The sequence below is a fragment of the Homo sapiens genome, chromosome 2, assembly GCF_000001405.40.
Source record: "Homo sapiens chromosome 2, GRCh38.p14 Primary Assembly".
In the NCBI taxonomy this organism is placed as follows: domain Eukaryota; kingdom Metazoa; phylum Chordata; class Mammalia; order Primates; family Hominidae; genus Homo; species Homo sapiens.
This window is the reverse complement of record NC_000002.12, coordinates 8,612,117-8,640,069: the sequence shown is the minus strand read 5'-3', so window position 1 is coordinate 8,640,069 and position 27,953 is coordinate 8,612,117. Positions and strand designations below refer to the sequence as shown.

The 27,953-nt window shown below is 52.0% G+C and overlaps 1 long non-coding RNA gene across 3 annotated transcripts in view, besides 4 other annotated features; it reads left to right on the top strand.

Annotated features, from left to right (window-relative positions):
* The window catches only part of LOC105373411 (uncharacterized), a 57,557-nt gene that overhangs the window by 16,356 nt on the left and 13,248 nt on the right, over window positions 1-27,953 (top strand). Inside the window, exon 1 of one of the 3 annotated variants that reach the window (XR_922758.2) lies at window positions 17,157-17,300. The exons of 1 other annotated variant lie outside the window; for it this stretch is intronic. This is a non-coding gene — a long non-coding RNA (uncharacterized LOC105373411). Of the gene's footprint in view, window positions 1-17,156; window positions 17,301-27,098; window positions 27,316-27,953 lie in introns of those variants that run through there. One more of the 3 variants, XR_007086198.1, reaches the window with a different exon arrangement.
* Window positions 2,346-2,869: an enhancer, noted in NCBI's record as "H3K27ac-H3K4me1 hESC enhancer chr2:8777331-8777854 (GRCh37/hg19 assembly coordinates)". NCBI's record gives its function as "activates a minimal SCP1, AML or CMV promoter by ChIP-STARR-seq in naive H9 embryonic stem cells {active_cell/tissue: H9 hESC(naive)}" and the evidence as "EXISTENCE:reporter gene assay evidence [ECO:0000049][PMID:30033119]".
* Window positions 5,338-5,839: an enhancer, noted in NCBI's record as "H3K4me1 hESC enhancer chr2:8774361-8774862 (GRCh37/hg19 assembly coordinates)". NCBI's record gives its function as "activates a minimal SCP1, AML or CMV promoter by ChIP-STARR-seq in primed H9 embryonic stem cells {active_cell/tissue: H9 hESC(primed)}" and the evidence as "EXISTENCE:reporter gene assay evidence [ECO:0000049][PMID:30033119]".
* Window positions 5,338-6,892: a biological region, named in NCBI's record as "P300/CBP strongly-dependent group 1 enhancer GRCh37_chr2:8773308-8774507".
* Window positions 5,693-6,892: an enhancer, noted in NCBI's record as "P300/CBP strongly-dependent group 1 enhancer chr2:8773308-8774507 (GRCh37/hg19 assembly coordinates)". NCBI's record gives its function as "activates an origin of replication core promoter dependent on BRD2, BRD4, P300/CBP, MED14 and CDK7 cofactors, with strong dependence on P300/CBP, by STARR-seq in HCT116 cells {active_cell/tissue: HCT116}" and the evidence as "EXISTENCE:reporter gene assay evidence [ECO:0000049][PMID:35650434]".

Sequence of the window (27,953 nt, the reverse complement as noted above, 5' to 3'; positions counted from 1 at the left end):
CACAGGAGACTCAAGATAGTACACAGGAGGTTAAGGGCATTCATAGTGGTCAAGCCGAGTTACATGATGAGTCCTTAACTGTGACTCTAGGTGTTGATCATAGGGACAGTCACGGCCACACATGCGCCACAGGGAGGCCAGCTTCCTTAGCTGTGTGCAGACATGGGGCTTAACAATTGGGGGCTCCCAGAACAGGAGGTCCCAGCTTCACCAGCACTTGGGTTTGTAAATGGCCACGCTAATTTTACTTTGTCTGTTGAGGAGCCTCTGGCATGGTTGACATGGAGCCATCAGGAGAAACTTGGCACTTTCAGGATATGGGGGGTGTGGGAAGGAGAGACTCTGTGTGATCAGGGACAGCTTAGAAGAGATGACTTCAGGGAACCTGGCCTCAAAGAAGCTGTTTCTACGGTCCGTGTGTTTTCATCAGGCCTTAGGTTCCTGCCTGAAACTCTATTAGGTGGATGGAGATTCATTTGGGTTAACAAAATTTGTTCTTAAACCAATGCACATGCCTGCACAGGTGACTTCAGGAGACAGTTGAGGGCCCAGATCCCTTCATTTGATAAAGGAGGCAATGACCAGGGAGGCACAGTGCCCCGTCTGCTGTCATCTAGCTCAGTGCGGTAGGGCCAGGCCGATGGCAAGCCATTGCCTTTGTTCCCTGTTGCTTTCTCCCTGGAAGGGTTCCCAGCCAGGGGACTTGACTCCTCACCTGCACTGAGCAGACAGGGCCCTGGGCTTGGGCACAGGGGGGCAGAGATTAGTATGGGCTGAGAATGGAGGGGTGGGATGGCCCATCTGTCCCCAGCCCCTCAGGATAGGGTGCTTTCTAGTGGGCTTTGGAGTCAGAGGTCAGGATCTGGCACCCACAGAGAGAGGGGCACAGAGATGGCGAGGGGAGAACACTGACTGAAGACAGATGCCAGCCCTTCTGCAGTCCCCCGATGCCCACTTTGTCTGGAGAGGAGGAGGGCACTCCCTCTCTTGCTCTCCTTCCTCCTGGAACTGGGCCCTGTTCTGAGACTGTTATTAGTGTGGGAGACCAGCAGCTCCAGGGACCAAGTCAAATTCTGTGGGCTAGCCTGGGATCTACAGGACAGCTAACACATTGCTTCTGAGGGACAAATGCATTTTGCACTGGAGTTGTTGAACTTCCTAGTAATTTTTTGGACCACAGCTTGCAGGTAGGTTGTGGCCAGCGGGAGAAAAGGACATCACCATTTCCACAGAGGTGATTGCCTAGTCATATCCACAGGGGAATTAGCATCTCTCTCAATTGGCCTATCCCACCCAAAGTGCTAGAAACAGGTCGTACTCAAAAGTAACTTAGTTAACTGTCAGGCTTTTAAAAAAAGGGGCTGCTGGTGTTTAGGAAGCTGAAGAATATCCTCCTTGACTGAGATTTCACCTACGGGGGGTGAGCTTGGAGCAGAAAAAGGCTTCGTTATAAACACCTTAGAAATAGACAACAAAGGGAATGCTGACACGCTGGCCGCGGCCCCACCGCCAGCTCCAGCGGGCAGTTAGGGGAAGGAAGGCTTTTGTGTGGAGTTCAAAGCCCCGAGTGAAAGCTAATGAGGACCTTTGTGTTGGGGCAAAAGACAGTGAGGGAGCTTATCAGAAAGGAGGGTTAAATTACCTCCTCTGTTTTCTGCAGGTTTAAAAAAAGCAGCCTTTGGAGCTCCTTGAGGGGTCTGCCAAGTCTGTTTCCCCGACGACGAGGGGTGCGTGAGATGTGTGGGTCTGTGCTCGTGCAAGACAGCCCGGTGCTCCTAGGGGCACGGGGAGGGAAGAGGGCAGTTTAGGGGCACAGTTACCCCAATAATTGCTTGAGTCTTGTGAAAGTCAAGATTGATGAGAAGCATGAATGGTTTTGGGGGGTCAGAGGGTGTGGGATGTGAGGATGAGCTTCAGAAAACTAAATCAGTGCAAAAACCAAGTGCTGACAGTGCTGTGTCTGGATGGATCTCGAAGGGACTGTATCTCGTCAGGTATTTGATTCTAAGTTCAGGCATACGGGAATAAAAATCAACTGCTCCAATTTAAAACATTGCCAACATCATAATAGTATTTATTTGCGGGTAGAGGAGATCTCTCTCTCTCTCTTTTTCTCTCCCTCTCCCCTCCTCCTCCCCGCTCTTTCTCTCTTTCCCTGCTCTCTCTCTCTTCCCCCAGCTCTCTCCTCTCTTTCCTGTCTTCCCTCTCTGAGTCTCTCTCTTTCTCCCCCTTTTCTCTGTCTCGCTCTCCATCCCTCTCTCTCCCCATATATAAATGTAATTTATTATATGTATTTTATTATATGTATAGTTATATATAATTTCTAATATATTTTAAATTTATTATATATATTTTATTATCTATATATGAATGTAATTTTCCCCCATAACTGGCAGGGAGGATCTGGGCGGGAGGGGTGAGAGTGGCAGCCCTGGCTATCTTCTTCTACTCACTCAGTGATCAGTTTCCAGAGTGTGGCGTGGCCTCTGGAAGGTGTCCCATTACCGATGGGGACGTGTACCCAGCCAGGGCCCCACACCCACACTTAGGGAGCTCCCTTATCCTGAGAGGAAAGGTCTCTCTGTGTATTCTGGGCCTTCGGGATTGGGCAGCTGCTCACTGAGAGGAGCTTTCAGCTGGGAGGACCCTGGGGCTGGGCTAGCCCTGATATTCCCAGGTGCAGAGAGGTGCCAATCACCCCTCCCTGGAGGACCCTTTTGGTCTTGCACACACACCCCCTGTCAGGTTCCACTCCAGGCCAGGATTTCTCTAAACTGCTCTGGAGTCACTCCTGGCAAGAAATCTCTTTATTTTGCCCTTTCACTTTCCCCCATCTATGCAACAAGAGCAAAAAACCTGTCTCATGAACAAAACAAACCCAACCATGCTCACTTGGGGGAAAAGGACACAGTACTATTAAAGCGGACTAGGAACAAACATGACAAATTATCACATGAATGATGCGGAATGAATGGTAATGAAAGAAAAGCGGCAAATAACAGTGAGGCAGCGACTGGGGAAGCACGTCTAGCACTTCAGGACCATTACCCTGGCCGAGTGTGACCATCTCATTAAGACGTTTGCTCCGATTTCCTCTTGGTGCTTCCTCCTATCGGGTCTTACAAAGTCTCCAGCTCTGTACAATGTAAACAGAAGGAGCAGAGGCCGCGGCTCTTGGGCTGCAGAGAGGAGGAGAGCATCTCAGGAATGCGAGGGAGGAAAATGCAGTGGAGGGAAGAGAGGCTTGAACAGCTTTGTCTCTTTCATGCTTTAGGAGATGGAGATTCTGGGCAGAGGAGTTCTGGGGCCTGGGGGCTGGGGCAGTTCCAGCAAACCTGTGGCAGACAGAGGCCTGGAGAGGAGGGTGAGGTGGAACCGGAGGGGAGAGGGTGTGGGAAGCACCGAGTACAGAATCTCAATGGCCCAGGGGTCTCCAAAGTCTCAAAGCCTCCTGCTGCATTTTCAGAACAAAATTCGTGAAAATTCCCTTTCTTTAGAAATATGTTTGCTCTCAGTGGCTTGACTGGAACTTGTGGGCATTGAATGGGGCCAGGTTTCGGGGGAGGAGGGGGCTTGTGGGGGAAGCTTTCTCTGTGTCACTCCACGTTGGCTTCGCATACTCCTTGGACTTTCTGAGTCATTAGCCCTCAAAAAGCCACCCTGATCGCTCCCGGGCTCAGAATAGAGCGCTGGGCAGCAGGGGCTTTGCAGAGCCTGAGAGGTCTCCAATAACGCTCAGCAAATAGCCTCTTGTGGAGCACACAGAAGAGAATTCCCGCTGGCTTAACTCCTGTGATGATCATGCTGCCTCTCCCACTCAGGAGAAGCATTTGCACAGTCATGATAGCAGCCACCCCGCACCGGGTGCTCGGGGTCTGCCAGGCCCCTTCTCAGCCTCACATGCATCGTTCTGTCTCACCCCCACAGCAGCCCGAGGGGTGGATGCCGCCAGTCACAGATGAGAGACTGAGGCTCAGAGAGCAGAAACGGCTTGCCCATGGCTGTTCAGACAGTTCACGGTGAGCTGGGATTTGGCCCCCGGCGGTCAGAGCCCAGAGCCTGGGCTCAAACCCCTGGCTCTGCCACCCTGTGCTCTTGTGGAGCTGGGAGAGGACAAAGTCTTCAGCAGCAATGTTTTTTTTTTTTTGCTTTAAACTCCTAGTTCTTAATAGTTTAAGAACAATGGATAACAATGGATACATTTCAAGAAAATATTCATTTTATATTCTATATTATGTAATTATATAATAATAATGTTAATCATTTTAAGATGGCATAGTTCGCCAGTTATTCTTCAATTAAAAAAACAGGTTGGGGTTGGGTGAGGTGTTTCATGCCTGTAATCTCAGCACTTTGGGAGGCTGAGGTGGGAGGACTGCTTGAGGCTAGGAGTTTGAGACCAGCCTGGGCAATATAGTGAGACCCTGTGTCTACAAAAAATAAAAATTAGCCAGGTGTGGTGGCAGTTGTCTGTAGTCCCAGCTACTTGGGAGACTGAGGCAGGAAAATTGCTTGAGTCTAAGAGCTGGAGGTTACAGTGAGCTATGATCCTGTCACTGCACTCCAGCCTGGGTGACAGAGAGATACCCTATCTCTTAAAAAAAAAAATTAGCACAGATTCTAGATTTTGGTTATACTGTTGTCACAGCTGCTGGGCCTGCAGCTCTGCCTGCAAGGATGTCCTGTGGGCCTTGACAGAAAAAGGTCGAGAAATCTGTGCCAAGAAGTGGGTGGGTTTTACCTGCCAGTTTCATGACAGCTTCACAACTTCCCTGAGATGGGAGTGCTGTCTTAGAGTTAAGAAAACCTAGACTCAGGCAGATGCATCACTGTCTGAGGTACATGGCTAACGCTGTGAGTAGAATTGCATTCCCCAAACGCAGTAGGATACGTCCAAGTCCTAACCTGGGCGCCTGTGACTGTGGCTTATTTGGAAATAGGAGTTTTGCAGATGTAATCAAGTTAAGATGAAGTCTTATGGGTGGGCCCTAATCCAGTGACTGGTTCCTTATTAGAAGAGGGAGATTTGGACATGCGCATGGAGCACCGTGGGATGGTGGAGGCAGAGGCTGGAGAGGGACCTCTGCAAGCCAAGGAATGGCACAGATGGCTGGCAAAGCCGGAGCTAAGAAGAGGCTCAGGTGGGTCCTCCCCAAGCCCTCAGACGGGGCACGACCTTGCCCACACCTTGATTTCAGGTTTCTGGCAACCAGAACTGTGAAGAAATACATTTCTGTTGTTTGAAGCCATCAGTAATTGGTGACGGCAGCCCCAGGGAACAAATACACCAAGTGTTCGCCTGGCTTTGACGGTGTGCTTGAACTGAACTACGTTAGGTAGTGTGGGGTTGCTAAGAGGGTGAGATACCACCTGCCCGGAGCTCATGGGTTAGGTGGGGGCAAGAGGACAGGGCACTTCAGATGGAAGGGGTGGCCTGAGCCAAGACAGTCAGGAAGACATGCACCAGCCGTTTGCTGGTGAGCAGGGAGGACCAGGGGCTTGGACCCGGATACTGATTGGGTCTGCAGGCTGGAACCAGATGCCGGAGCCAGATGCCAGGAGGTCTTGAAAACCATGAAGAGGAATTGAGCTGTGGTGTCCTACACAGTGGGAGCTTCGAAAGTGCAGGAGTGTGATGAGAATGCTTAGGATATCTGTGTTCATCAAGGGGTGGATGGTGGGGAAGGAAATGGCTTCCCCTGCCGTGCCAGCAGTGGGCCCAGAAGAAGGAAGAAAATCAGGAGTTTCTTTAAGAAACAGGGGTGCTTACAAGTGAAGTGGGGGAAGGAAAGTGATCTGGGCTGGTCGGGGCCTGTGAAGCGAGGCTTCTGTCCAGGAAAGGGATAGGGGCCTGAGAAGCTCTGGTGACCCTGGGAGACTGGGAGAGAGGTGAGGACTGGAGAAGGACGCAAGGAACAGAGAGATGGCTGAGCAGGGCAGAGCAGCCTGGAGGAGGTGAGGGATGTCAGCTGCAGAATGGGCTGTTGACATATAAAGCGTATGTGGTCCCTGATGATAAATAATCCTGGAAGGGAATGAAATACCATGTTGGAAAGTGACTCAGAACCCAGGCACGCTGGTGCTCTTGTCGTGTGGGTGGCCGAGTGATGTGGAGGGAGATGAAGGGGTTAGTATCTCATGAATGTGCGTTGGCGGCTGACTGCACCGGAGAAAGAGTTAATAATTAAACTGGTTGTGCCACCGCTGTGGGGCCAGGGCTGCTTCAGGCTCCCTGGGGCTGACCCCACTCCTCACCCGCCCCGTTGATATGTGGTCCACACGAGAAGACCACAGGAAGCTCAGACTGTGGGCTTTGAACAAGGCATTTTCATTTTGGAAGCTGCCAGGACCGGAAATTAGTGAGGCTGATTCAAAAAATCAATTTAGCTTGACTTGAATTAAGTAAGGAGGGGGACGAAGGAGGGGGAAGGACGAGGGAAGGAACTGGTGTTTGATGAGTCCCAAGGGAAGTCCTTGGCTCCCTGGTGCGTGGGAATGCTCAGGTCCTCTTTTCCAATGGGGAAACTGAGGCTCAGAGAGGTTAAGTGGTTGGCAGAAGACTGTGCAGCTGGAAGGGTGTCTGAGCAGGAATGAGGAGGATGACCTGTTGGCCCCAGCACCCCCAGCCGAGTCCTTACAGCTACAGGACTCCCTCAGGCTTCCAAAGCTGTGAGAGAGGAGGCTCCGGGCCCCTGGACAGGAAATTGGAGGCCCAGATCCCACCTGTGGCTCTGCCCACATCTCAGGGGACTTTCTGGAGAAGGCTGCCATTACTTGCTCCGTGCTGTGATGACAATGTAGCTTCTGCCTTCCTCTGGCAGGTGGGGCAGACCAGATGACATTTTAGGATGCTGCCCCACCCTAGGATGGCAGATTCTCTGACTGCTGGAGATCTGAGGTGATGCTCAAAGTCTTTGTAGTTGAACGAGCTGGGGTCTGCTTGGGGAGTCCCTCCCGCCAGATATTGAGTATCAGTGTCTCATGCCCAGTGAGCTTCCTCCCTCTCAGGGTGCTGTCCTCCAACCCCGCTGCTTTCCCACGGATCTTGAGAGGGCACCACCACCATCCAGGACTCCGGCTTCCTGTCTGGGCTGCTCCACTTCTCGCCCTGCAGTGCCTCAGCCCGCCATCCTGTCTCTTCGGGGTCTGCAATGAGAGGTGCTGTCTCTGACAAAGGCGCTTGTGTCTCAGAGGCCGGCCTGGGCTCCTCGGGACTCAACACTTCACACTGAATCTCACCCACAGTTCAGAGCCCCTCACTGGGGTCCCTGGGATGTCCTCACCAGCTGAGGATTCCCCTCAGCTGGAGCTGCTCCAGGCCTTGGGCCTTATAGGGGGCTGTGGCCCAGATGTTGGGAGTGTTCTCCTCAAACTCAGGCCTTCCAGCTGTTTCCCTTCCATGACTTACAAAGCAGCAGAAATGCTGCCTCCTCAAGGAAGCCATCCTACAAAAGAACAACACCCCCTCCATCCTTCTGCTCAAACAGGACCTTCAGTGACTGCCTGTCCTGGGGTGGGGGGCGGGGGGCGTTCCCCAGTGCTGTGAGCCCACTGGGTACCTGGTGGGTGTTGTTCTCTGATTACAAATATGACACATGGGGAGCTCAGAGGCTGCCTATCTTCTCCCAGGCTCTGACTTGGACCCTAGGGTGCCTCCGTATTCACAGTGTCTTGCCGAGAGCACCTTCCTTGGACTGTGGTGGGTGGAATAATGGCCCCCAGAGATGGCCACATCCTAAGCCCTAGATCCCGTAAATATGGTGCTTTGCATGGCAAAGGGACTTTGCAGATGTGAGTAAGTGAAGGCTATGGAGATGGGGAGATTATCCTGGATTAGCCAGGTGGGCTTGATGGAATCCTGAGGGTCCTTAAATGTGGAAGAGGGAGGCAGGAGAGTCAGTGTCCCAGTGAAATGTGAGACTCACTGGCCATGGCTAGCTTTGAACATGGCAAGAAAAGGAAAGGAAACAGATTGTCCCCTGAGCCTCCAGAAGGAGCCAGCCCTGCTTATTATACTTTGATATTAGCCCAGTGAGACCCAAGTCTAGGGCTGGAAACTGGGCCACAGGAAGTGAGGGATGTGAGCCAGGAGGTTCCAGAACCTTCCCCCTAATCTGCCTGCATGGTGATGCCTCATCTGTGCCAATCCAGAGAAATACGCTTCTTCACCCCCCTCCTTCTAGCTGACCTGCAGGGCTCTGGCTCACAGTGTTTCCTCACAAGCCCTGGGAGGGGGCTGCACCTGGGAGGTGACTTCCTCTGGGCTCCGGAAGCTGCTCCGTTGAGCTGAACGAATGGGCCCGGAGCTGCTTACAGCAAAGCATGAGGGCTGGAGAGGGAGGAGTGAGGCCTTGCACCTGCCTTCAGAGCTTTCTGTTAGCTGGGGACAGGTGCGTGCACAGGGGACCCTAAAACAAGGCAGTGCTGGGGACACGGCCACAGGGCATTGGAGGAACTCCAGAGAGGGAAATTGCTTTTGCCTGGGGGCATCGGGAAGGCCTGCTGGGGTCTGCTTGGGGAGTCCCTCCTGCCAGATATTGAGTATCAGTGTCTCATGCCCGGTGAGCTTCCTCCCTCTCAGGGTGCTGTCCTCCAACCCCGCTGCTTTCCCACGGATTCTGAGAGGGCACCACCACCATCCAGGACTCCGGCTTCCTGTCTGGGCGGCTCCACTTCTCGCCCCGCAGTGCCTCACCCTGCCACCCTGTCTCTCCGGGGTCTGCAATGAGAGGTACTGCCTCTGACAAAGGCGCTTGGGAGGAGCGTGTGGAGCAGGAGAAGAGTGCCTGGGAGCAGGGGTCAGCAGGGACAGGGGCCAGGTCTACGCAGAGGATGCTATGGTGGCCAAGGGGAAGGGCTGGGAGGGGGCTTTGCAGACTTGGAGAAGCTTTAAGGTGGTGGGTACAGAGGCATGACCAGAGAGGTCGGCCCAGGTTCCTGGTGCTCCTGCTTGTATTTAATTCCTGGCACCCTGGGGTCTCCTAGCTCCAGGGGAGGTGAGTGATGTGCTCTGGCCAATGGGCTGTGAACTGTGCTGATTGGATCCCCGCTGTCCTGCCTGCCCCAGAAGATGGGAAGCCACGTGCCCACAAGTCTGGGTCCCACCATGGCGCAGCCCCCCATGGGCCCAGGCCCTCAGCCTGTGGGGACACGTGCAGTGGGAGAGGGTGGTCTGGATTTATTCAGCCACAGAGACTCCTCGGCAACTTCTTATCCCAGCTCCATCAGCCTGTCGAGGAGGATTAACTAGGCTTAGAAGTAGCCCATGGCCTTGGGAAGGACGCATTGTATGGGGTTGGGAAACACAAAAGCACGATGAGTTAATGTTTATGGGAGGGGAGGTGGGGAGACCCAGGTAACAATCGCGGGTGGTAGTCCAAGATCCTGCGGTGACCACCAGGGCAGAGCCGGGTGGGGCAGTGGCCACGGAGGGGCAAACGCTGCGTGGGGGGAAACTCTTAACTTCTTGCTTCCAAACGAAAGGGTCCCAGTTTGAAGAACTTCCCCCGACCCCCTGCCCCCCCGCCCCTCAGTTTCAAGTGTGTGTTTTATCCATTTTCTTGGGAACCATATTCCTGAACCCCTAAGCACCTGAACCCTAACTAATTTACTCTGAACCCACCTAATTTACCTAACTTACCCTGAACCCCTAAGCACCTACAGGTTTTAGAATGATGAATAATCCATTTTGGATAAAGGCAATCATACCTGGATTCAGCCAGAATAGGAACTTTTCTAAGCAGATTTTTTGGAAAATAAAATTTTGGGACTTTTAAGTTGAGAAATCAGTGAAACCAAGTACAATATCCCATTAGAAACAGCACATTCGTGAGCACTTACTCTATGACTTTATGAGTAAAAATACTGTTCCCTGAATTATTAAAGGTGAGCATATCCCACCTTAAGATTATTCATACATAATAATGATAGCCCAATGTCCTATAAAATAAACGTATGAAAGTATGATGTACATACAGAGGCATTCACTAATTATATGTGTATTGCTTAGTGAATGATCATGTCTGCTGCCTTTGATTTCTTATAAAGTGACTTTTAGGGTAAAATAAATCAGAATTTTATGACAGGTGGCAGGGTGCTTTCTCATTACATTTTCTGTGAATCAGTTTGATCAACCATAAACATACTGAGCCCTCTGCATTTCTGTTGATGGAGTGTCAGTCCGTGCAACCTGGCTACATGTCATTATTCACTTACATTTTTTCTCTTAATCCTTACAGGGGCTTTATTTGGTGGCTGCTGCTTTATTTGGTGGCTTCTGTAACACTCTCCACTTCACAGGATGAGGAAACTGAGGCACAGAGAAATTGTGTAGTTTGTCAAGAGTCACACAGCAAGTGGGGTGGTGGGGCCATAGTCCAGCCCTAGGCGGTCCCCAGGGCTGGATTCTCCTGCTCTCTGGGCTGCAGGGAGGGGCTGCACCCTCTCTTCCCACACGTGACTGGTGGCCTGGAGGTCCTGGGCTGCGTGTGTTCATACCAGGCCAGAGCAGGCATTCCTTCTATGGACAACTATCAGATGGCTCTCCTGTCCCAGGCACTGGCTGGGAATGCACAGCCTGCTGGGTGAGGCGGTGGGGAAGGTCCCATCCTTACTCCCAATGTTGCCCATAGAAAGAGACTCTAGAGTCTGGCACCAAGGGTATTGGTATTTAGTGTGAAAAAGAGGAAAGAGAAGTTTGAAACGGACACAATTTTCATTTTAAAATTAACTACATGGACTTGTCAAGTAGAAATTAGAACCATGCTGATTTCTGGATGTTTGCACACCTAAAAAAAAATCTGGCGGTGACAGGCAATACTTTCTAAGCTCTCGGGCGTGTGCGTCCACTGGGCGTCTTAAAGGCACAGACAGCATCCATGAGACAAGGTGGCAGGGGCGGGGGGCGGGTGCTGGTCTTGCCTTTATGTAAGAAACGTAGGGGAACATTTCTGTCTTTTTTGGTGGGGGGACAGGGTCTTGCTCTGTCGCCCAGGCTGGAGTGCAGTGGTGCGGTCACGGCTCACTGCAGCCTTGACCTGCCTGGGCTCAAGTGATCCACCCACTTCAACTTCCTGAGTAGCTGGGACCACAGTTGTGCACCACTGTGCCCAGCCAGGGAGCATTCTTTCTCTCAAACCACATGAAACCATTGGCCCCAGAATTTTAATAAGAAGGGGGTGACACCACCCATGATCATTTTATCCCAGATATCTAATACTTTTGTGGCAGGTTAACTCAGCTAGCACTCTGCAGGGTGGGGCACCGGTCCCCCCGCCCGCCCCAACCCTCCGCTTTCTCTTCCACAAGGGGGCTCCCGGCCAGGTGGGGTAAGCAGGTTCAGCCTCTTGCGCCTTGAAGTAAACGATCTTGCATTACAAAGTGCCTGAGTCACTCCTTCTCACATGGGACCGACTGATGTAGATGGCAGGGACACAGGGTTTGGCTGAGACCAGCCCTGTGCCAGCCAGGGGAGGGAGGCTGACCCCAGTGTAAGAGGAGCTCAGGAGATGAAGAATGGAGACCACCAGGAACCGTCCAACTGCCTTCTCCGTGCCATGTCAGTGAGGGTTGCGCAGGTGCCTGGCCCAGTCAGCCCTGGGAGGCCCTAGTGCATGACTCCCGGGCGTCTGCCTCGGGGCATCCCTGCTGCTCCTTCCTCTTCACCTCCTAAGCCACCTCCCAGGCCTTGGTGCTGAAGGAGTGGCCAGAACTAAGGAGGGGCTGCCATCAGGTGGATGGGGCATCCATGAGGGTGCAGCGGAGGGACGCCCTGCTGGGAGGGAGCTCGGAGCTTGAGGGGGCTGCCGGAAGGGCCTGGCTAGGCCTGATTCTGGGTCTGCTTGGAGCCTGCACTGCCAGCAATAGTCTCTTAAAGCTGAGGGTTTTTTTTTTTTCTGCCAAAAAAATGTTTTCAGTAGTAGATGCCACTTCCACAGAGATCTGAGGTGCACACAGCCTGGAGTGCGAGGTTCGTGGGGGTTGGGAAGATGCTGTTACCTGGTAAACGTATCTTTCAGGGGACAGGTAAGTCCCCAGGTCTTTGGAAGGCAAGCATCAAGAAGTGAGGGTGGAACCAGGGTGGGGCAGGTCCTGCTTGGATCCTTGCAGACTTTGCCCCGGCTACCGGCTGCTCCCTGTCGTGCGCCTGGCGTGCTGGGTCCCCGCGGCTGCTGTGCTGGGGAGCCCTCTGCAGGGCGGCCTCCTCCGGGCCACCCTCCTTACATCAGCGGAGGCCACTGAGGATCCACTGCAGGCATTTTCTGACACTCAGGGCGGAATGACACTTAGAATGTCCTTTGGTGATTCTGGCGCTTGAGATTCTGTTGAGGCAGGGAGTGTGGCCGAGGGGAGACCCTAGAGTAAGACCTGGGGTAGCATCCCTTTTTTTCTGCTCTCTAGGGGGTGGCGTTGAGGCTGCTCTTGCTAAAATGCTCCCTTTCTTTTGCTTGTCTGTGAAGTCCCACAGCTGTAAGGGAGAAATGAGGGCTGCACGAGGCTGTTCCCCTCAAAGTCTGGGGTTCCCTTGCAGGCAGGGTTCTGAGGGTCCCCGGTGCCAGAGGCCTGGGTTCCACTCCCGCTGGGTCACAGGCACGTTGTGAGGCTGAGGCTGTGGTCCCGTTCCGCATGGCACAGGCTCACACAGGGGAGCTGAGGACCCCCACACGGAGGGGACTGCGTTCCCAGGAAGCCCCCCGTTCCCCCGGCGCTCAGCCTCGGAGGCATTCAGCCTTGGAGGTTTGATGGGGGGGACAGGGAACGGGGTCCTCTCTCTGTTTACCCGCGCCTCCTGGGTCACTCACTGCAAGCTGGGACTTAGCGCAGATAGCACTTGATTGCGCCACTCCCTGCTCAGAGAAGGCCCTGTAATCCGGAGGTTTCCTATTTGTTTTTTAGTTTTATGGGCATTTAGTAAAATGGCTATGATTACGGCCTGTGTGTTTAGCTGTAGAGGCAAATTACATTGATAGCCCTTTCCCCTCTCTCTCTCCCTCTCTCTCTCCCTCTCTCACACACACACTCACACACTCTCTCACATACACTCACACACACACACACATCACTCACACATGTACTGACACACAATCATACACATACAAACACACTATTGCTATCACACAGACACACATGCTCACCCTCACACACAGTCATACACTATCACTCACAGACTCCCACACACAGACTCCCACACACACTCCCACACACACTCACATACTCTCACACTCCACACACACAGTCATACTCTCAGACACACACTCTCAGACTCCTCACACATACTCTCACACACATTCTCATACACACACACACTCACTGTCACAGACACACTCTCGCACACCCCGCTCATCCACTCCACTCTCTGCCGCCTCGTCTCAGCTGGGCCTGCAGCTCCGCTGTGAGCTGTGAGCCACAGGCTGTGAGGAGCGCAGCCACCCCTGCTCTTGGGGGCCGTGGTCTCCTGGGGGGTTTGTCGGGGGTGAGTGTGGGTGCTCCAGTGAGGGTCCTAGCGTTCCCTCCAACCCGCTTCATGTCCCGCTCTGTCTACTGGGGTTCTTCATGAGCCCCATTTCATTTGAAGAAAGGATTGGATAGCTAAAAAGAATCTGAATCCGTCTAAAAAGATTTTGGAAATTCCTGCCCACCCCCAACCCAGGTCTGAGGCACATGTGAGTAGATTTAAGCATGTCCACAGCCAGCGCTTCAAGGCAGGTGTGAGTGGGATCTAGGGCTGGACACAGAGGGGCTGTCCTTGTGGGCTGGGGGCCTGGAAACCGTGCTCCAGGGGTGAGAGGGCCTTCCTCTTTGGAACGCTTTCTGGGACACCTGCAACTGTTTTCTGTCCTCACAGCAGCGCATCTGTGGTCCCCGCATCTGGCCTGCGTCCATCGTCCACCAGTCTGCTCACCTCCAGGCAGCCCCGTTTTCTAGGGCTGCCTCCGGTCCCACCCAGCGCTCCTGGTGGCTGTGCCTGGTGACTGGGACGACTTGGCAGTGTGGTCAGCGGCATGGCCTCGTAAACTCCAGCTTCTGGAAAGGAGCTGGGCCTGGGCCTGAACGATGGTGGTAGGACCCACTGCTGGACCCGGCCAGGTGGGTGGCACGGGCTGGATGAGAAAGGCAGGTCCTGCAGGCTGACTCAGAGTGCCAAGCAGCTGAGGCGGACGTCCCGGGTGCAGTTTGCTTTGAGGGGTCATCCCGGTGCAGCAGAGCGCTTCTGCAGGAGTGGGTCACACGTGGACATCTGGGCAGGCTAGGGACACAGGGCCTCAGTTGCTAGACCTGGCTGGGCTCGGGCTCCTGGGGGCAAGGCCTGGCCCCCATCCTGTTGCCAGAAGATGCCCAGATCAGAATCGGGGGTCAGGGGTGGACCAGATGTCTGGACTGGGGAGGACTCTGCCCGTGCTCCAGGCACACTCTCCCCTGGGAGCCTCATTCCAGCCATTCCCTCTACCAGGAATGGTCTTTACCCACAGTCCCTCTTGGTTGACCCTGGCTTTGGCTGTAATCTCATCTCTCGATGAGGTCCATGTTGACCAACCTATTTAATGTACAACCTGCCCCCACCTTCCCTCACCCCCTAGTTCACCTTCCCCAGTCTTCTATTTTCTGTGTATTGTGACCTTTAACCTACTACATAACTTATTTATGTACCAAGCTTATCATTTATTATCTCTCTCTCCTTTCTAGAAGGTAGACCCTCAATCAGGATCTGTTCAGTGGATTAGTGAGGAAATCTCCAGACCCTACGCTTCACTTTTGGGGGTGGGAACCTCCCCTCCCCAACCACCTGCCACAGGGAAGGAAATACCATGTGTGACAAATAGAATACAACTATCAAAAGAACGCGAAATGAGCCCCATGAACGCCAGACCTTTCAGCCAAATTCTATTTGTACTGGGACAATGAAAAAGTGACTCATTTATCCACAGAAGAGGGAAAGGCACGACTGCTAGGCAGAAGTAGTGTGCATCTCCCGCCTTCTGTTTTGTGCCCCGATGTGCCTAGAAGGTCACCCCAGCCCCTCCAGCCTCTGGGGAGAAGTTGGGCCTGGGCCTGAATGATGACACTGGGGCCCATTGCTGGACCCGGCCGGGCGGGTGGCAAGGGCCCTGCTGCAGACTGGACGAGAAAGGCCAGTCCTGCAGTCTGACCAGGTGTAACCTCGGGGTGCGAAGCAGCTGAAGTGGACATCCCGGGTGCAGTTTGCTTTGAGGGGTCATCCCGGAGCAGCAGAAATACCATGTGTGACCCATTTTAGAGATGAGGAAATGGAAGACTCCTCTGCTCTAGGGCCCCAGTTGTTGCCCCTGCCCTACTTCTCCCGATCAACGCTGCCTCCTTATTCAGAAAGCTCAAGAACCGAGTCCCCAGGAAAACGACATGTTGTTTTTTTTGGCACTAATCATTATTGTTTAATTATCCTGGGAGGGACAATAAGAGGGAAGGAAGAAGGAGAAGGTGAGTCTGGAGGCAGGGCGCCTTCCCCGGGGCTGTGTTCAGCACCAGCACCGAATGCTCTGGGATGTCTGGGCAGAGGCTCAGAGACGCAGCTTGACTCAGAGGGAAGCTTAGTCCTGGGCCAGTTTTCAAGGGTTTCCTCTGTGTTCTGGTCCTGCGGGTGGGCACTGCTTGCTGTGTTCAGACACTGATTAGATTAGGGCAGCTTGCCAAAGACAGGTCCCTGCTAGAGCAGCCCTTGGTGGCCAGGACATCGTGGTTGCCTGTGCCTCGGAGCCCTGGCTTTGCCCAGGTGGTCGCTTTGCAGCATTGTGTGGCTGGGTTGGAGGCCAGGGTGCTGCCCACACGTGGGGCTGGCTGGAGCTCGGCAGTCCAGTCACATGACTGGTCAGGGCCTCCTCAGCTCCTCCGTGCCCAGGGAGGGAGTGGGGCATTCCCCAGTGACCTGTCACAGGTGGCACAGTTCCTGGGATGGGAGGCCCAGTTCCCATAGACCTAGGGCAGATTTTTATCCTGTTCTCAGATGCCCACTGCATCCAGGAAGCTCTGTGTCTCCTGTGGAGCAGGGCTGAGGCCATCAGCTTGAGCTCATTTCCCTGGGGCTTGGGGGTTCGTGTGGCCCCAGTCTGTGTCTCCCAGATCAGCTGCTCCTCTTCCCTGGTCCATGAGCATTAGTGGGTTCTGGTCTGCCCAGTGGGCACCTTCTTCCACATGAAGCAGTGGAAGCAGAAGCAGTGAACACTCCGGAAGGGTCCACTGTGTGCCAGGCTCAGGGACACAAAACTAGATCACGGGTGAAGTTCCACAAGTGTGGGCATGTGGCGTGCCCATTGAGTGCCAGCCGTGTGCCGGTAGCTGAGAACTCAGCAGCGCAAGGTAGATGCAGGCCGCCGTTCTTGTGTAGTGAGACCCACAACAGCAGCTCCGAAGCGGGTGTCCAGAGAGAGGGGGTCCTGACTCTGACTCGGGGAGTCAGAGGAGACCACCCTGGAAGAAGTGGCGTCTAAGCTGAGACCTGAGAGTTAGGACTTAGTCATTTAAGGGTTGGGGGTAGGGAGGGGTGGGCAGGGGTAGAAGAGGGTTTCCAACAGAATAGCATGTGTGAGGCCCTGAGCAAGACAATTTGGGACCAGAGTCACATTTGTGTGACTGGAGAGTGCAGGGCAAGGGAGGGAGTGGTGAGCCATGCATCTGGGAAGGGAGAGATTGTGCAGGAAGGGGAGAAATCTTGTGGTCCGTGGGGCCTGGTCGGGAGGGGAGCGTGGCTCTTGGGATGCTGCGTTTGAGGTCTCTGTGGGGTGACTGGGCGCGGTCATCTAGCAGGCGGTACTCAGCCTGGAGGTCAGGCTGTAGGTGAATGGATGCTAAGTGAAGTCACGGAGGAGGCTCGTGCCCAGGAAGAGGCCAAGTGCAAAGAGAAGACTGCCAGGGCTGCCCTGGGATCCACAGGTGCAGGGGGCCCGGGAGGCAGAACTGCAGAGAGGACTGAGCGAGGGCTGCCCAAGGGCAAGCTCAGCCCAGGAGGAAGAGAGAGAGTGCTCCCAGGAGGAGGAGGAGAAGGTTGAGAACGAGGCACTGAGTTCACCAGGCAGGTCAGGGGGAAAAGAATGAGCGAATGGAGAGGTCTCTTGGATTTAAGGAAGGAGGTGGGTGGGGGCTGCACTGGAGGGGAGGAAGGAGGAGCCTGAGGGCTCTGTGTGTGTGTGTGTGTGTGTGTGTGTGTGTGTGTCTGTCTGTCTAACGGGAGGGACATGAGCATGTTTTAAAGTTGACGCAAGTAGCTGGGAGAGAAGGAAGAGACCAGAGGGGAACTGGGTTCATCAATGTGACAAGGACTGTGCCTGAAGGTGAGGGGTTGGCCTTGGGGAGGGAGAGGGGCGAGACAGGGGAGGAGCTGGGCTGTGGCGCAGGGCTGGGGTTCAAGGATCGGGGCTGACAGGGCTGGAGTTCCCCTCTGCTGGCTTCTGTTTTCTCTGAGGTAAAGTCAGATGCTGAGAGCTGGCAGGAGGCGGTGGCTCTGAGCTTTGAGGAGTGTGAAGAAGGTTGCAGTGGTCACCTTAGAGCTGGCTGGGGAGGCAGAACCACTCACTGGAGGTGCTGGGCCTCCCTGGGGGCTGCAAGGGGATGGGGGTCTTTTGGGGCTGTTTTTCTCTCCTTGGAGGCAATGCAGGGGAAGGTAGGGGCAGGGCAAGGCTCTGGTCCCAGCTGCACCTCTGGCCCACGCTGACCTTGGGGAGACTGGTCATCTTCCTAGGCCTGCCTGTTTGCTTGTCCACATAACAGGGAGGCCAGGCTCAAAAAGCCATTAGGGCTCCCTGGAGACCTGGGGTTCAACTGAAGGCCACAGGTTGAAGTTTGAGTCTTTATTTCATTCCTGATTAGTGCAGGAGAGAAGGAAATGGGAAGCTAATATGGAGGCATGCCTGAAATGTGAACCTAACAAGTGGGAATTTTACCACTACTTTGGGATTTTGCACTGGGTTCTTTTCCACAGAATTTAGGTTTGTAGGTCAATTATGAAAACATTATGAGAGCTTTCCTGGTTCATCTTCATCTCCCTTGCCTTTTTTTTTTTTTTTTTTTTTTTTTTTTTTTGTGAAGACAGAGTCTTGCTCTGTTGTCCAGGCTGGAGAGCAGTGGCATGATCTTGGCTCATTGCAACCTCCGCCTCTCAGGTTCAAGCGATTCTCTTGCCTCAGCCTCCCACACCTGGCTCATTTTTGTATATTTATTATACAGACGGGGTTTCACCATGTTGGCCAGGCTGGTCTCGAACTCCTAACCTCAGGTGATCCGCCCACTTTGGCCTCCCATAGTGCTGGGATTACAGATGTGAGCCACCGCGCCTGGACGTGATCTCCCTAGTCTTTGAGCTCCCTTGCCTGGTTTCCCTTCTGTCCATCTGAGTCTGCAAGAGCTGGCAGTGGAAACGTAAATGAAGAGGGTGAAGGCGTTCAGTTTTGTTGCCTCTTGGTAGCACTGATGAAATCATCGATTCTCTCACGTGTTTGTTTCTTACTTGTAAATATACCTTTGGTTAGAAGATGAGTGAATGGATAAATGTTGGGATAAAGAAAGGGTCTGAAGAGACCATTTAATAATTTCATTTATCTCGGCTCTCCTGGCTCTTCCTGTTATAATGAAAAATTATGGAAATGGAAAATAAGCTATTTGCAAGATCCATGAAGGAAGATATGTAAAGAGAAAACAAGTGGGCTATAAATGCATTTGGCTCGCTACCTGCACTGAATTTGGAATTGACGTTGATTTCAAAAAAATTGAGAAATTGGAATAGGCTTGTTTTCTCTCATGACACAAGTACCAGTAAGTCAGATGACGAAGTGGAATGTATCCTCATGAAAGGAAGCATATTAAAGATAAGACCCAGCTGCTCTGCCAAGGAGTGGCTGTTCTTTATTCCTTTACTTTTCCTAATAAACTTGCTTTCATTTTACTTTATGGACTTGCCCTGAATTCTTTCTTGCGCAAGGTCCATGAACCCTCTCTTGGGATCTGGATTGGGACCCCTTTCCGGTAACATCTTCCTGGTGAACCATGAAGGGATGATACTGAGGAAACTTCCAATCCTTCCTGCAACACACACACACACACACTCACACACACACACACACACACACACAAACACACACACAAATAAAAAAGATAAAACCCAACATTTTAAATCCTTCAGACCCGCATTTCACTGGTAAGTAGAAAGTCAAGGGACACAGGGCTTGGTTTTCATGGTTTTCTCTTATTTGGGTGGAGCAAATTTCCTGATCATTCCTGTGACGTGGGAGGCAAATATTTGGACACCTTGAATGTCTGACATCATCTCCATTGTACCCTCACACTTAGTTGATAATGGGTTTGGTACAGCATTCAGGGTTGGAAATCATTTTCCCCTGGATTTTTGCTGCATTGTAGTCTAGCATCCAGGATTTGTCTTGAGAATCAAAATTATTCTGATTCATGATCCTTTGTAGAAGACCTATTTGTATCTCCCTGTCAGCTTGTAAGATTGTCTTTTGTCCTCAGTGTTTGTAAATGTTATGCGGGTGGCTTAGGCTGGGTATCTTTTCATCTGTCATATGGGCGGGTGCTCATTGGGTCCTTCGGGCTAGAAATTAATGTCTTTCAGTTCTCTGAAATTTCCTAAACTATGTCATGATGCTTTCCTTTCCCACCTTTTCCTTGGTTTCTCTCTCTCTCTCTGGAACTCTGTCTTCATATGTTGAACCCCTTGAACTAATTTTACATTTTTTTGCTCTATTTTCTCTATTTCCTCTGTTTTGTCTTCTAATTTTTCGAATGAACTTTACATTTATAACACGGCATTTTAAGCTTACAACTATTCTTTCTGTTCTCTAAATATTCTTTAAAAAACAAACAAACAAACAAACAAACAAACGTGTTTGTGCCTGGATGCCATCTCTGATTGTCTATCTGAGGATACTGATAATAGCTTCCTGTTTTATACTCTCTCTTCTCTATGCATAATCTCTGTTTCCTCCAAGTTACCTTCTTCTCTTTGTTTTGGTCACGCTCTCTCATGTCAGGGGCTTTCTTCAGCTGAGACCCTCAGTCACTGGTTTATATTTAAGAGTGGGGCATGAAAAGTTGATTGGAAGCACTAAATGTGTGATTAAGATTGTTGATTGTGGACTTCCTTGTAAAAGAATCTGGTTGGACTATTTTCCTGGGGAACTACCAATATCGGCATCTTTAGATTTTTCCTCTTGCACTGGCTTGAGCTCAAAAAAGCCCTTTAATCCTCTCTTGGAAGTGACAACCTAGACGTTCTGAAGGCCGAGAGAGAGAAGAGGGCTGGAGCAGGGCTATCGCAGGTCAATATTCCATATACAAACCTTCCCTTAATCTGCTACTTCTGTGTGGTGCCTTGACCTTCAGCTGTGCCTGGGATCTCCCCAACTAGAGACCTGGTCTCCTCTCCAGAGAATAAGCCTTCAGTTTTTTGCTGGTGTCGGAAAGGGGATTTGTGCACCTCACTACTTTGTGAGCAGGTTCCTTCTCATTTTCAGAAGTTGTGGACACCCCCAAATCCTGAGCCCTCTTTGGGTTCCGCTGGTAAACCTGGCTGCTTCTTGGCAGGAATGCCCTTAGACCTGGGCCACGGCCTCAGAGAGTGTATGTTCCCTCTTCTAGCTGTGCCCCTTCTCAGGGGCCAAGAGGACATGCCCACTCAGAGTGCGCACCTCATTCCTCCTTCTAGAACATTCTCCAGGGAAAGGAGGCCTTGGAATTCCCTGTCCAAAGGATCCCAACCCTGCTCCCTGGGCCCCGGGGCGGGGGGGCTCTTTCCAGAGCCCTCCTTCCAGAGTGGACCATGCTGCCAGTGTGAGCCACCTAGGCTGAGGAGTGGCTGGGGGCAAGGGGTTGTGGGAGGTTTGGATGGAGCCATGCAAGCTCCCTCAGGTGCAGGATGGAGCTGGGCTGGGAAGGAAGGGGAATGGGCCACGATCAGGGATCTTCCCATGTTGCTGTGTTTTGGTGCCGAACTGAGAAGTCCAAGGAGGACTATCCATTTGAACCTGCAGTTAAGGGTTGAATTGTGTCCCCTCAAAAAGATCCATTGCAGTCCTAACCTCCAGTTTCTCAGGACATGACCTTATTTGGAAATAGGTTCATTGGAGGTATAATTAGTTAAGATAAAGTCATACTGGAGTCGGGTGGGTCCTAGTCTAAGATGATGGGTATCCTTATAGGACAGCCATAGGAAGATGGAGGCAGAAATGTATCTCCAGGCCAGGGAGCGCCAGCGAGTGCCGGTCATCATCAGACACTAAGAGACAGTCCAGGAACAGATTCCTCCCAGCCTTCTGAAGGAACCAGCCCTGCAGACGCCTTCATCTTGGACTTCTAGTTTCCAGAAGTGAGAGAATAAACGTCTGTGGTCCTAAGCCGCCCAGTGTGTGTACTTTGTCATGGCACCCTAGGAAACTAACACATGGGCCTTTTACATCACCAAGAAGGTATATTTGTCAAAGCAGAGAATAGAAGGATTTTTTTTTTAACCTTTAAATAAAGTCTATGACCTTAGTGTAGAATTTTCTCTTTATGAGTGAGGGCACGTGAGCTTCCTCCGCTGCCCCTGCTCAGGCCTCCTTGAGTGCGAAGGGTGAGTTGGCTTCTTGGCTCCCCCCAATCCTGGTGTAGGGCTCAGCTGTATCCTGCGTGCTCAGCCAGCCCCCACGCACTCTTCCCTTCCCAGCCTCCGGCATTTTACCAGTGTGTTCTCCCGAGATTTTGCTCCTGGAGGTTCCGTCCCAGTGCTGTTCAATAGGATTTTCTGTGATGCTGATGGAAACATTCTTTTTCTATGCTGTTCAGTATATCAGCCACTAACCCTGTGAGGCTGCTGAGTGCTTGAGATGTGGCTAGTGTGATCTGGAAGCTGAAGTTTAGAATTGATTTAATAAAAAGGTAAATGTAGCCCGTGTAGCTAGGGGCTACCACATTCCATAGCACAAAGCTACACTGTAAAATAAAACAAAACAAAATGTTTGTCTTTGATGGATTTAGAGAGAGAATGGAAGTAAAGGAACGTGTTTCATCTGCCATCTTTACCCTAGTATCTCTTGTGTGTCTTAATTTTTATTTCAAAGAGATTTTAGAACTAAACTAGCAGTGGTGAGTTTAAAAAAAAGTCCCGGCTCTCAGATGCATAGTAGGGTGAACGCTGGTGCTTGGTTCTGTGTGCAAGGAGGCAGCTTTCGTGGCCATCCCTCTTGTCACAGGTAAGGGCAGGCAGAGGCTCTGTTCGTGGTCACAGAATGAACCTGGGGTCTTTGGCTCCTGCCAGGTAGGTTTGCAGCCTCCAGGGACCTCGCCAGGCACCCTTCATGACTCCTAAACACCAAGCGGGTGTCCAGGCCCTGCGGCCACCCGGCTGCTGGAAAACAGATTGGGTTGGTAAAAATATGTGTGTGTGTTCTCACAGAACCTGAGAAAATCACACCTCCACTTTGACAAAAAAATCTGTTTGTGCAGCTCCAATAATCACTTCCTAACTGGTGGGATAGCAGGCCATATGTCTGTGAAGTGGCTAGCTGACGAGACATTCTACCTCCGTTGCGCCTCGCAAAATACCTTTTTCTAGCAGATCAGCTCTAAAATAAAAAGAAATGAAGCCACAGGCTTCTGCTTCCAAATGATGCTTCTGAGGCAAGGCAAGACAAGGCAAGTGGTTCCTGGAGACACAGGAGTGGGGGCTTGGAAACGGGCCTGGTGGGGCTTGCGACTCCGATGTGTTTGGGGTGAGGGAAGCCAAGTAGGATTTTCAAGTTCAGGGGCTGGTCCCGTGTTGGGGGAGAGGTCCCTACTGAATGGCGAAGGAGCTGTCTGCAGAAAGTCGGACTTGTTTGGGGGTTTGAATTTTGGAGGAGACCGCCCCCCGGCCGCCCCTCCTGGCATTCCAGCTCTTGCAAGGTGTCTAAACACCTTGCGCTCATCTCGCACCAGTTGTGAAATTCCATCAGGCTTGAATAATCATAGGAAGCCGCTCTGGCATCCTCATGACCTAAGGCAAGCACATCTCCATGTCTGTGTGTGTAGGGGCTTCCCTTTGGACTCCCCTCCGGGCCCGCCAACCTTTTTTGAGTGTGTGGCTCACAAATTTCACCTTGGAGGTGACCACCGTCCCTCGGAAGCTCATGTACACACAGAAAAATGGCAGTCCCTGGAAGGAGCTTTTCTTCTCCCTGCATCCTTTCCCCAGAGTCAGCTGGAAAGATCTAGAACGACAGACACCCTTCCCCGCCATGCTGTTTCTGGAACAAGCTTGTCTTTCCACTATTCACTTTGCTGCCTTAGGTAGAACCACATGTCATGTGTCTTGCTTTTCTCATCTGTGACTCCAAAGGGTAGTGTCAGAAAAGATCAAGTTAAGAAATGCAAAATCATTTTAATAAAGTTATTGACTTTTGTGCCCATTTCAGTATCATATTTAAAAATTCACATTATGGAAATAAATCTGGGTTTTCAGTTTGCTCTGTGCAGTACGCAAGATGCCTCATTCCCTTCCCTTTTTTAAGCGTTTGACATTATTTTATGGCCTGAATTCAATGACTATTCAGAAGATCTGAGAAGCAAACTTTACCTGTTGGATTTTTCGTTATCCAACAGGGAGGACTTGATAAAGGAGGATGGTCTGTATTTGTCAGAGCAGGTGCTGTGGTTGTAGCCAGTCTTGCCGACTGCCATGAGCTGTTAACACTTGCTCATTTTTAAAGTCCTGCTCAAGTTCCGTCTGTGCCCCAATCCCAGGAGGTGTCTATGGAGCCCTGTGACTTTGCTCTTGTTCATGCATCAGATTTCTGATGCTGCTGGTGATCGGAGGAACAGGATGCTCATCTAGCGCGAGCTCACTGACCACGGTGGGAGCAGGAGCTGGAGCTGATGGGATGGAGAAGGGAGCCCCGGCGAGAAGAAGGAGAGACAATTTACTCCAGAACCCGGCAGAGACACTGGCATGCAAAGGTTAGGCCTGGGTCCCCAGGCCCTGCGTCAGTGTTTCTTTCTTGATCTCTTCCAGCAGGAGGGAGTCTCCCTGTGAACTCCCTCACACATTATCTGCTCCTCTCCCTGGCACTTACCAGTTATCTGTCTGCTGCAGATGAGTTATTTCTGAACTTGCCTTATCTTGCTCCTGGACTGCTTTAGCTCCTGAAGGGTTGCGACTGTCATAAACACTTTGTTATCTTCTTCGGTGCCCAGCCAAGGGCCTTGCACCAGGGCCACGTGCAGAGGGCACAAACCTCTGGTCCCTGGGCCATGGGGCTGAATGGTTTCTGACACCAGCAGGCTGGCACACTGGAGAGGCTGCGGCAGCCCTAGTTGGCTGCCATCTTAGGGAATTGGAAGCCTCTGGGGTGGGGTCGGGGGAACGTTGCTCTGGGAAGGTCTTGGCAGTTGGAGGTTTTCTTCTCCATCTCTCACCATGCCCTTTGCTCCTTGGGGTTAGATGTCTCTGCACCAAGTGCCACCTCTCTCTGCTATATCTTCTCCAACCTCCCCTCTGCTGCGCTTTTCTGCCATCTCTCTCTGTTTGGCATGAGCATCTCTCAACTCAGCATCTCCCTTACCTCCCTCCTTCCCTTCTGGGCTGGGCTTCTCCCGGGGACACCCACTGCACCTTTTATGTCTCAGACCATGGTATTGGTGCCCGCCCTCCATCCCCTGACCCGGCTTGGCTCTGTATGCCCCTCCAGGGCCTACTGTGTGCCACATCCAGGGCGTGCATTTGGTCTGCATCAGACTTGCCTGTTGATCAGCATCTTGGCATTGATCACCCTCTCCTCATTCTTCCCCTTCCCGAATAGCAGACTCTTTCTGGCTCCTTCACCGGCTCCTTCTCCTTTTCTTTTCCTTGTGCATTAGTGTCCTTTGCCCTGCACACTCCAAGGCACTCCCAGACACTCTCTTTCCTTCCACAAGACATCAGCGACCACCTGGAGGCCAACAAACCCAAGTCCACAGCTCTAGCCTTTTCCCTGATGCTGCTTCATGCACGTATTGCAGGGGGTTCCTGCTTGTTGCCTAAGCTCATCAAACACACTTGTCTAAGATAGAAGTACTGACTTAGCACCCAGCATCTCCTGCCACAGTTAATGGTGCCACCATTCACCTGGTCATCCAGGAAGTCACCCCTAGACTCCTTTCTCTCCCCCAGTCCTGCTCATTCTCCAAGTGCCCCAAGTCCTCCTGGCGTAGTCAGGTGGGCTAGGTCATGCTGCTGTAACAAATATCCCTGCAATCTCAGTGGCTGAACACAGTGTCTGGATGGCCGGGCTGGTCTTCTGGCAACTCACCTCTAGGTCACCACTCTGGGATCTCGTCTAATTCGAGCTGTAGCTCTGCCATCTGGAACCAGTACTTCTGAATTTGCTGCAGAAAGTAAGAGCAGATGAGAGGGTCCTGCAAGATGTTAAGGGCCAAGCCTGAAATGGGTTACATCGTTTCTGCCCCATTCTATTAGTCAGAACTCAGTCCTGCGGCCCCTCAGCTCACTGCAAAGGAGGCTGGGAAATGCACTCCGGGAGACGGTCTCCTCCCCGCGTGCTCAGGGAGGGGAAGGGATGTGGTGCCTCTGCAGTACTGCCGTTAGGGCCCTGATCATCTCCTGTTGGACTTACGAGTCTCCTTGCTTACAGCCTCTGTCCTTCCAATCTAGCTTCCTCCCAGCAGCAGGAGCAGCCAGTCATTCTAAGCTGCGGATCTGACCACACCACCTCCTGCTAAACCCCTTGCTCTTGGGATAAAGTTGTGGCTGGACCCTCTCAACCTCTCCAGTCACATTTCTTACCACCCTCCCCAACACAGCCTTCTCCCCAGCTACAACAAACTCCCCACATTTCCCCAAACAGGCAGTATTTCACAAGGCTCCCCTTGTCCCCTCTTTGCCAACAGGGGTTGTCCCTTCCAGAACAGGCTCGGATCTGTGTTCCGGAGTCAGCTCCCCAGGCCCCCCTAGGGTTCATCTGTGCCCACCCACTGTAGGCCAAGTCTCGGGCTCCCCATGCGGGGTTTCCAAAGCCCTTCATGTGCCCTCATTAGGATACTCTTGGCATTGTTAGTTATTGCTTTTCAGAGGGTCTGACTTCACCCACAAGCCAGAAGGGTAAAGCCTTACTGTGCGGCCTCCATTGTGCCGAGAGCACCACATGCTTTACTCACTGGAGCCTTAACATCACCCTGTGAGAGGCACTGCTAGGGCTTCCATGTAACATCATGGGGAACCAAGGCACAGAGATGTCAAGGAACTTGCCCAAGCTCACACAGCCAAGTGGTGGAGGCAGGTTGGCTCCAAGTCCACATGTGTGACTACTGTGCTACAGGGCCTATGACCCACAGCCCTCAGCCACATGGCACCTTCATCTCCGTCTCTGCAACCCAGAATGCTGGTCCAGAGTGCATGGACACTCACAGGCAGTTGAACACACATGAGCAAGTTCCATTTTAAAGCTTTCTTTTACTCTGTCCTCTGCCTACTTCCATCCATGCTTCCATTAGAAATTCCCCCTATGGGCCGGGCACGGTGGCTCACGCCTGTAATCCCAACACTTTGGGAGGCTGAGGTAGGTGGATCACCTGAGGTCAAGAGTTGGAGACCAGCCTGGCCAACATGGCGAAACCCCATCTCTACTAAAAATACAAAAAAATTAGCTGGGGGTGGTGGTGCACACCTGTAATCCCAGCTACCTGGGAGGCTGAGGCAGGAGAATTGCTTGAACCAAGGAGGCAGAGGTTGCAGTGAGCTGAAATTGCGCCACTGCACTCTAGCCTGGGTGACAAGAGCAAAACTTTGTCTCAAAAAACAAACAAAAAATCCTCCCTATGGTTTCCTTCTCAGTTCAGTTCAGGAAGCAAGAAAATAAATCCATGAGACTCTCATTAGATTTTTTCAAACAAAGTAACTTGATCTTATCCCTGGAAGGGAGCACCATGCCTCGGACACAGTTACTCCAGAGATCTCATCCCTGCCTCAACTATTCTGAATGGCTTCTTTGGGAGGTGGTTGCAGAGACAGCTTACTGATCACACAGGAAAATGATTGCCATGACCTTCTATCACTATCTGCGCAATACAAACAACATCAAAGGGACTCTCCCATACTGTGTCTACTCATGAAAAGGGCTTTGCCAGCATCTCTTTAAGTAAGTGTGCAGAAATGATGTCCTTCAAAATCCCTGTTCCCCACGTGGTTGCCGTGACATGGAGACGCAGAGGGGGACAGTGTTGCTGCTCAGGGCTGCCCTGACAAAGGGCCGCAGACTGGGGGCTCCAACAACAGAAGTCTGGCTTCTCAGAGCCCGGAGGCAGGAAGTCTGAGATCTAGTTTTGGTGGGTGTGCTGCTTCTGAGGCCTCTGAGTGTGGCTTGGAGGTGGCTGCCTTACCCCCTGTGTCTCCCCGTGGTGTTCTCTCCATGTGTGTCTGCATCCTAATTCCTTTATTTTTATTATTTTGGAGAAAGGATCTCACTATGTTGCCCAGGTTGGCATGCAGTGGCACAATCACAACTCACTGCAGCCTTGACCTCCCAGGGTCAAGTGATTCTCCCACCTCGACCTCCTGAGTAGCTGGGACTGCAGGTGCATGCCGCCACACCTGGCTAATTTGTATATATATTTTTTTCCTTTAGAGATGGGGTCCAACAAAGTTGTCCAGGTTGGTCTTCAACTCCTAGGCTCAAGCAATCTGCCTGCCTTGGCCTCTCAAAGTGCTGGGATTACAGGTGTGAGCCACTGTGCCTGGCCTTAATTTCCTCTTTTTAAAAGGACACCAGTCAAATTGGATTGGAACCCACCCTAATGACCCTATTTTAACTTAATCTCCTCTTTAACAAACGTTTCTCCAAATGCAGTGACTTTCTGAAATACTGGGGGTAAAGACTTCAACATATGAATTTTGGGGGTCTCAATTCAGCTCCAAACAGGCCCTAATGGAAGCTCTGGTCACTTGCTGCTCTGCGTCCAGCACC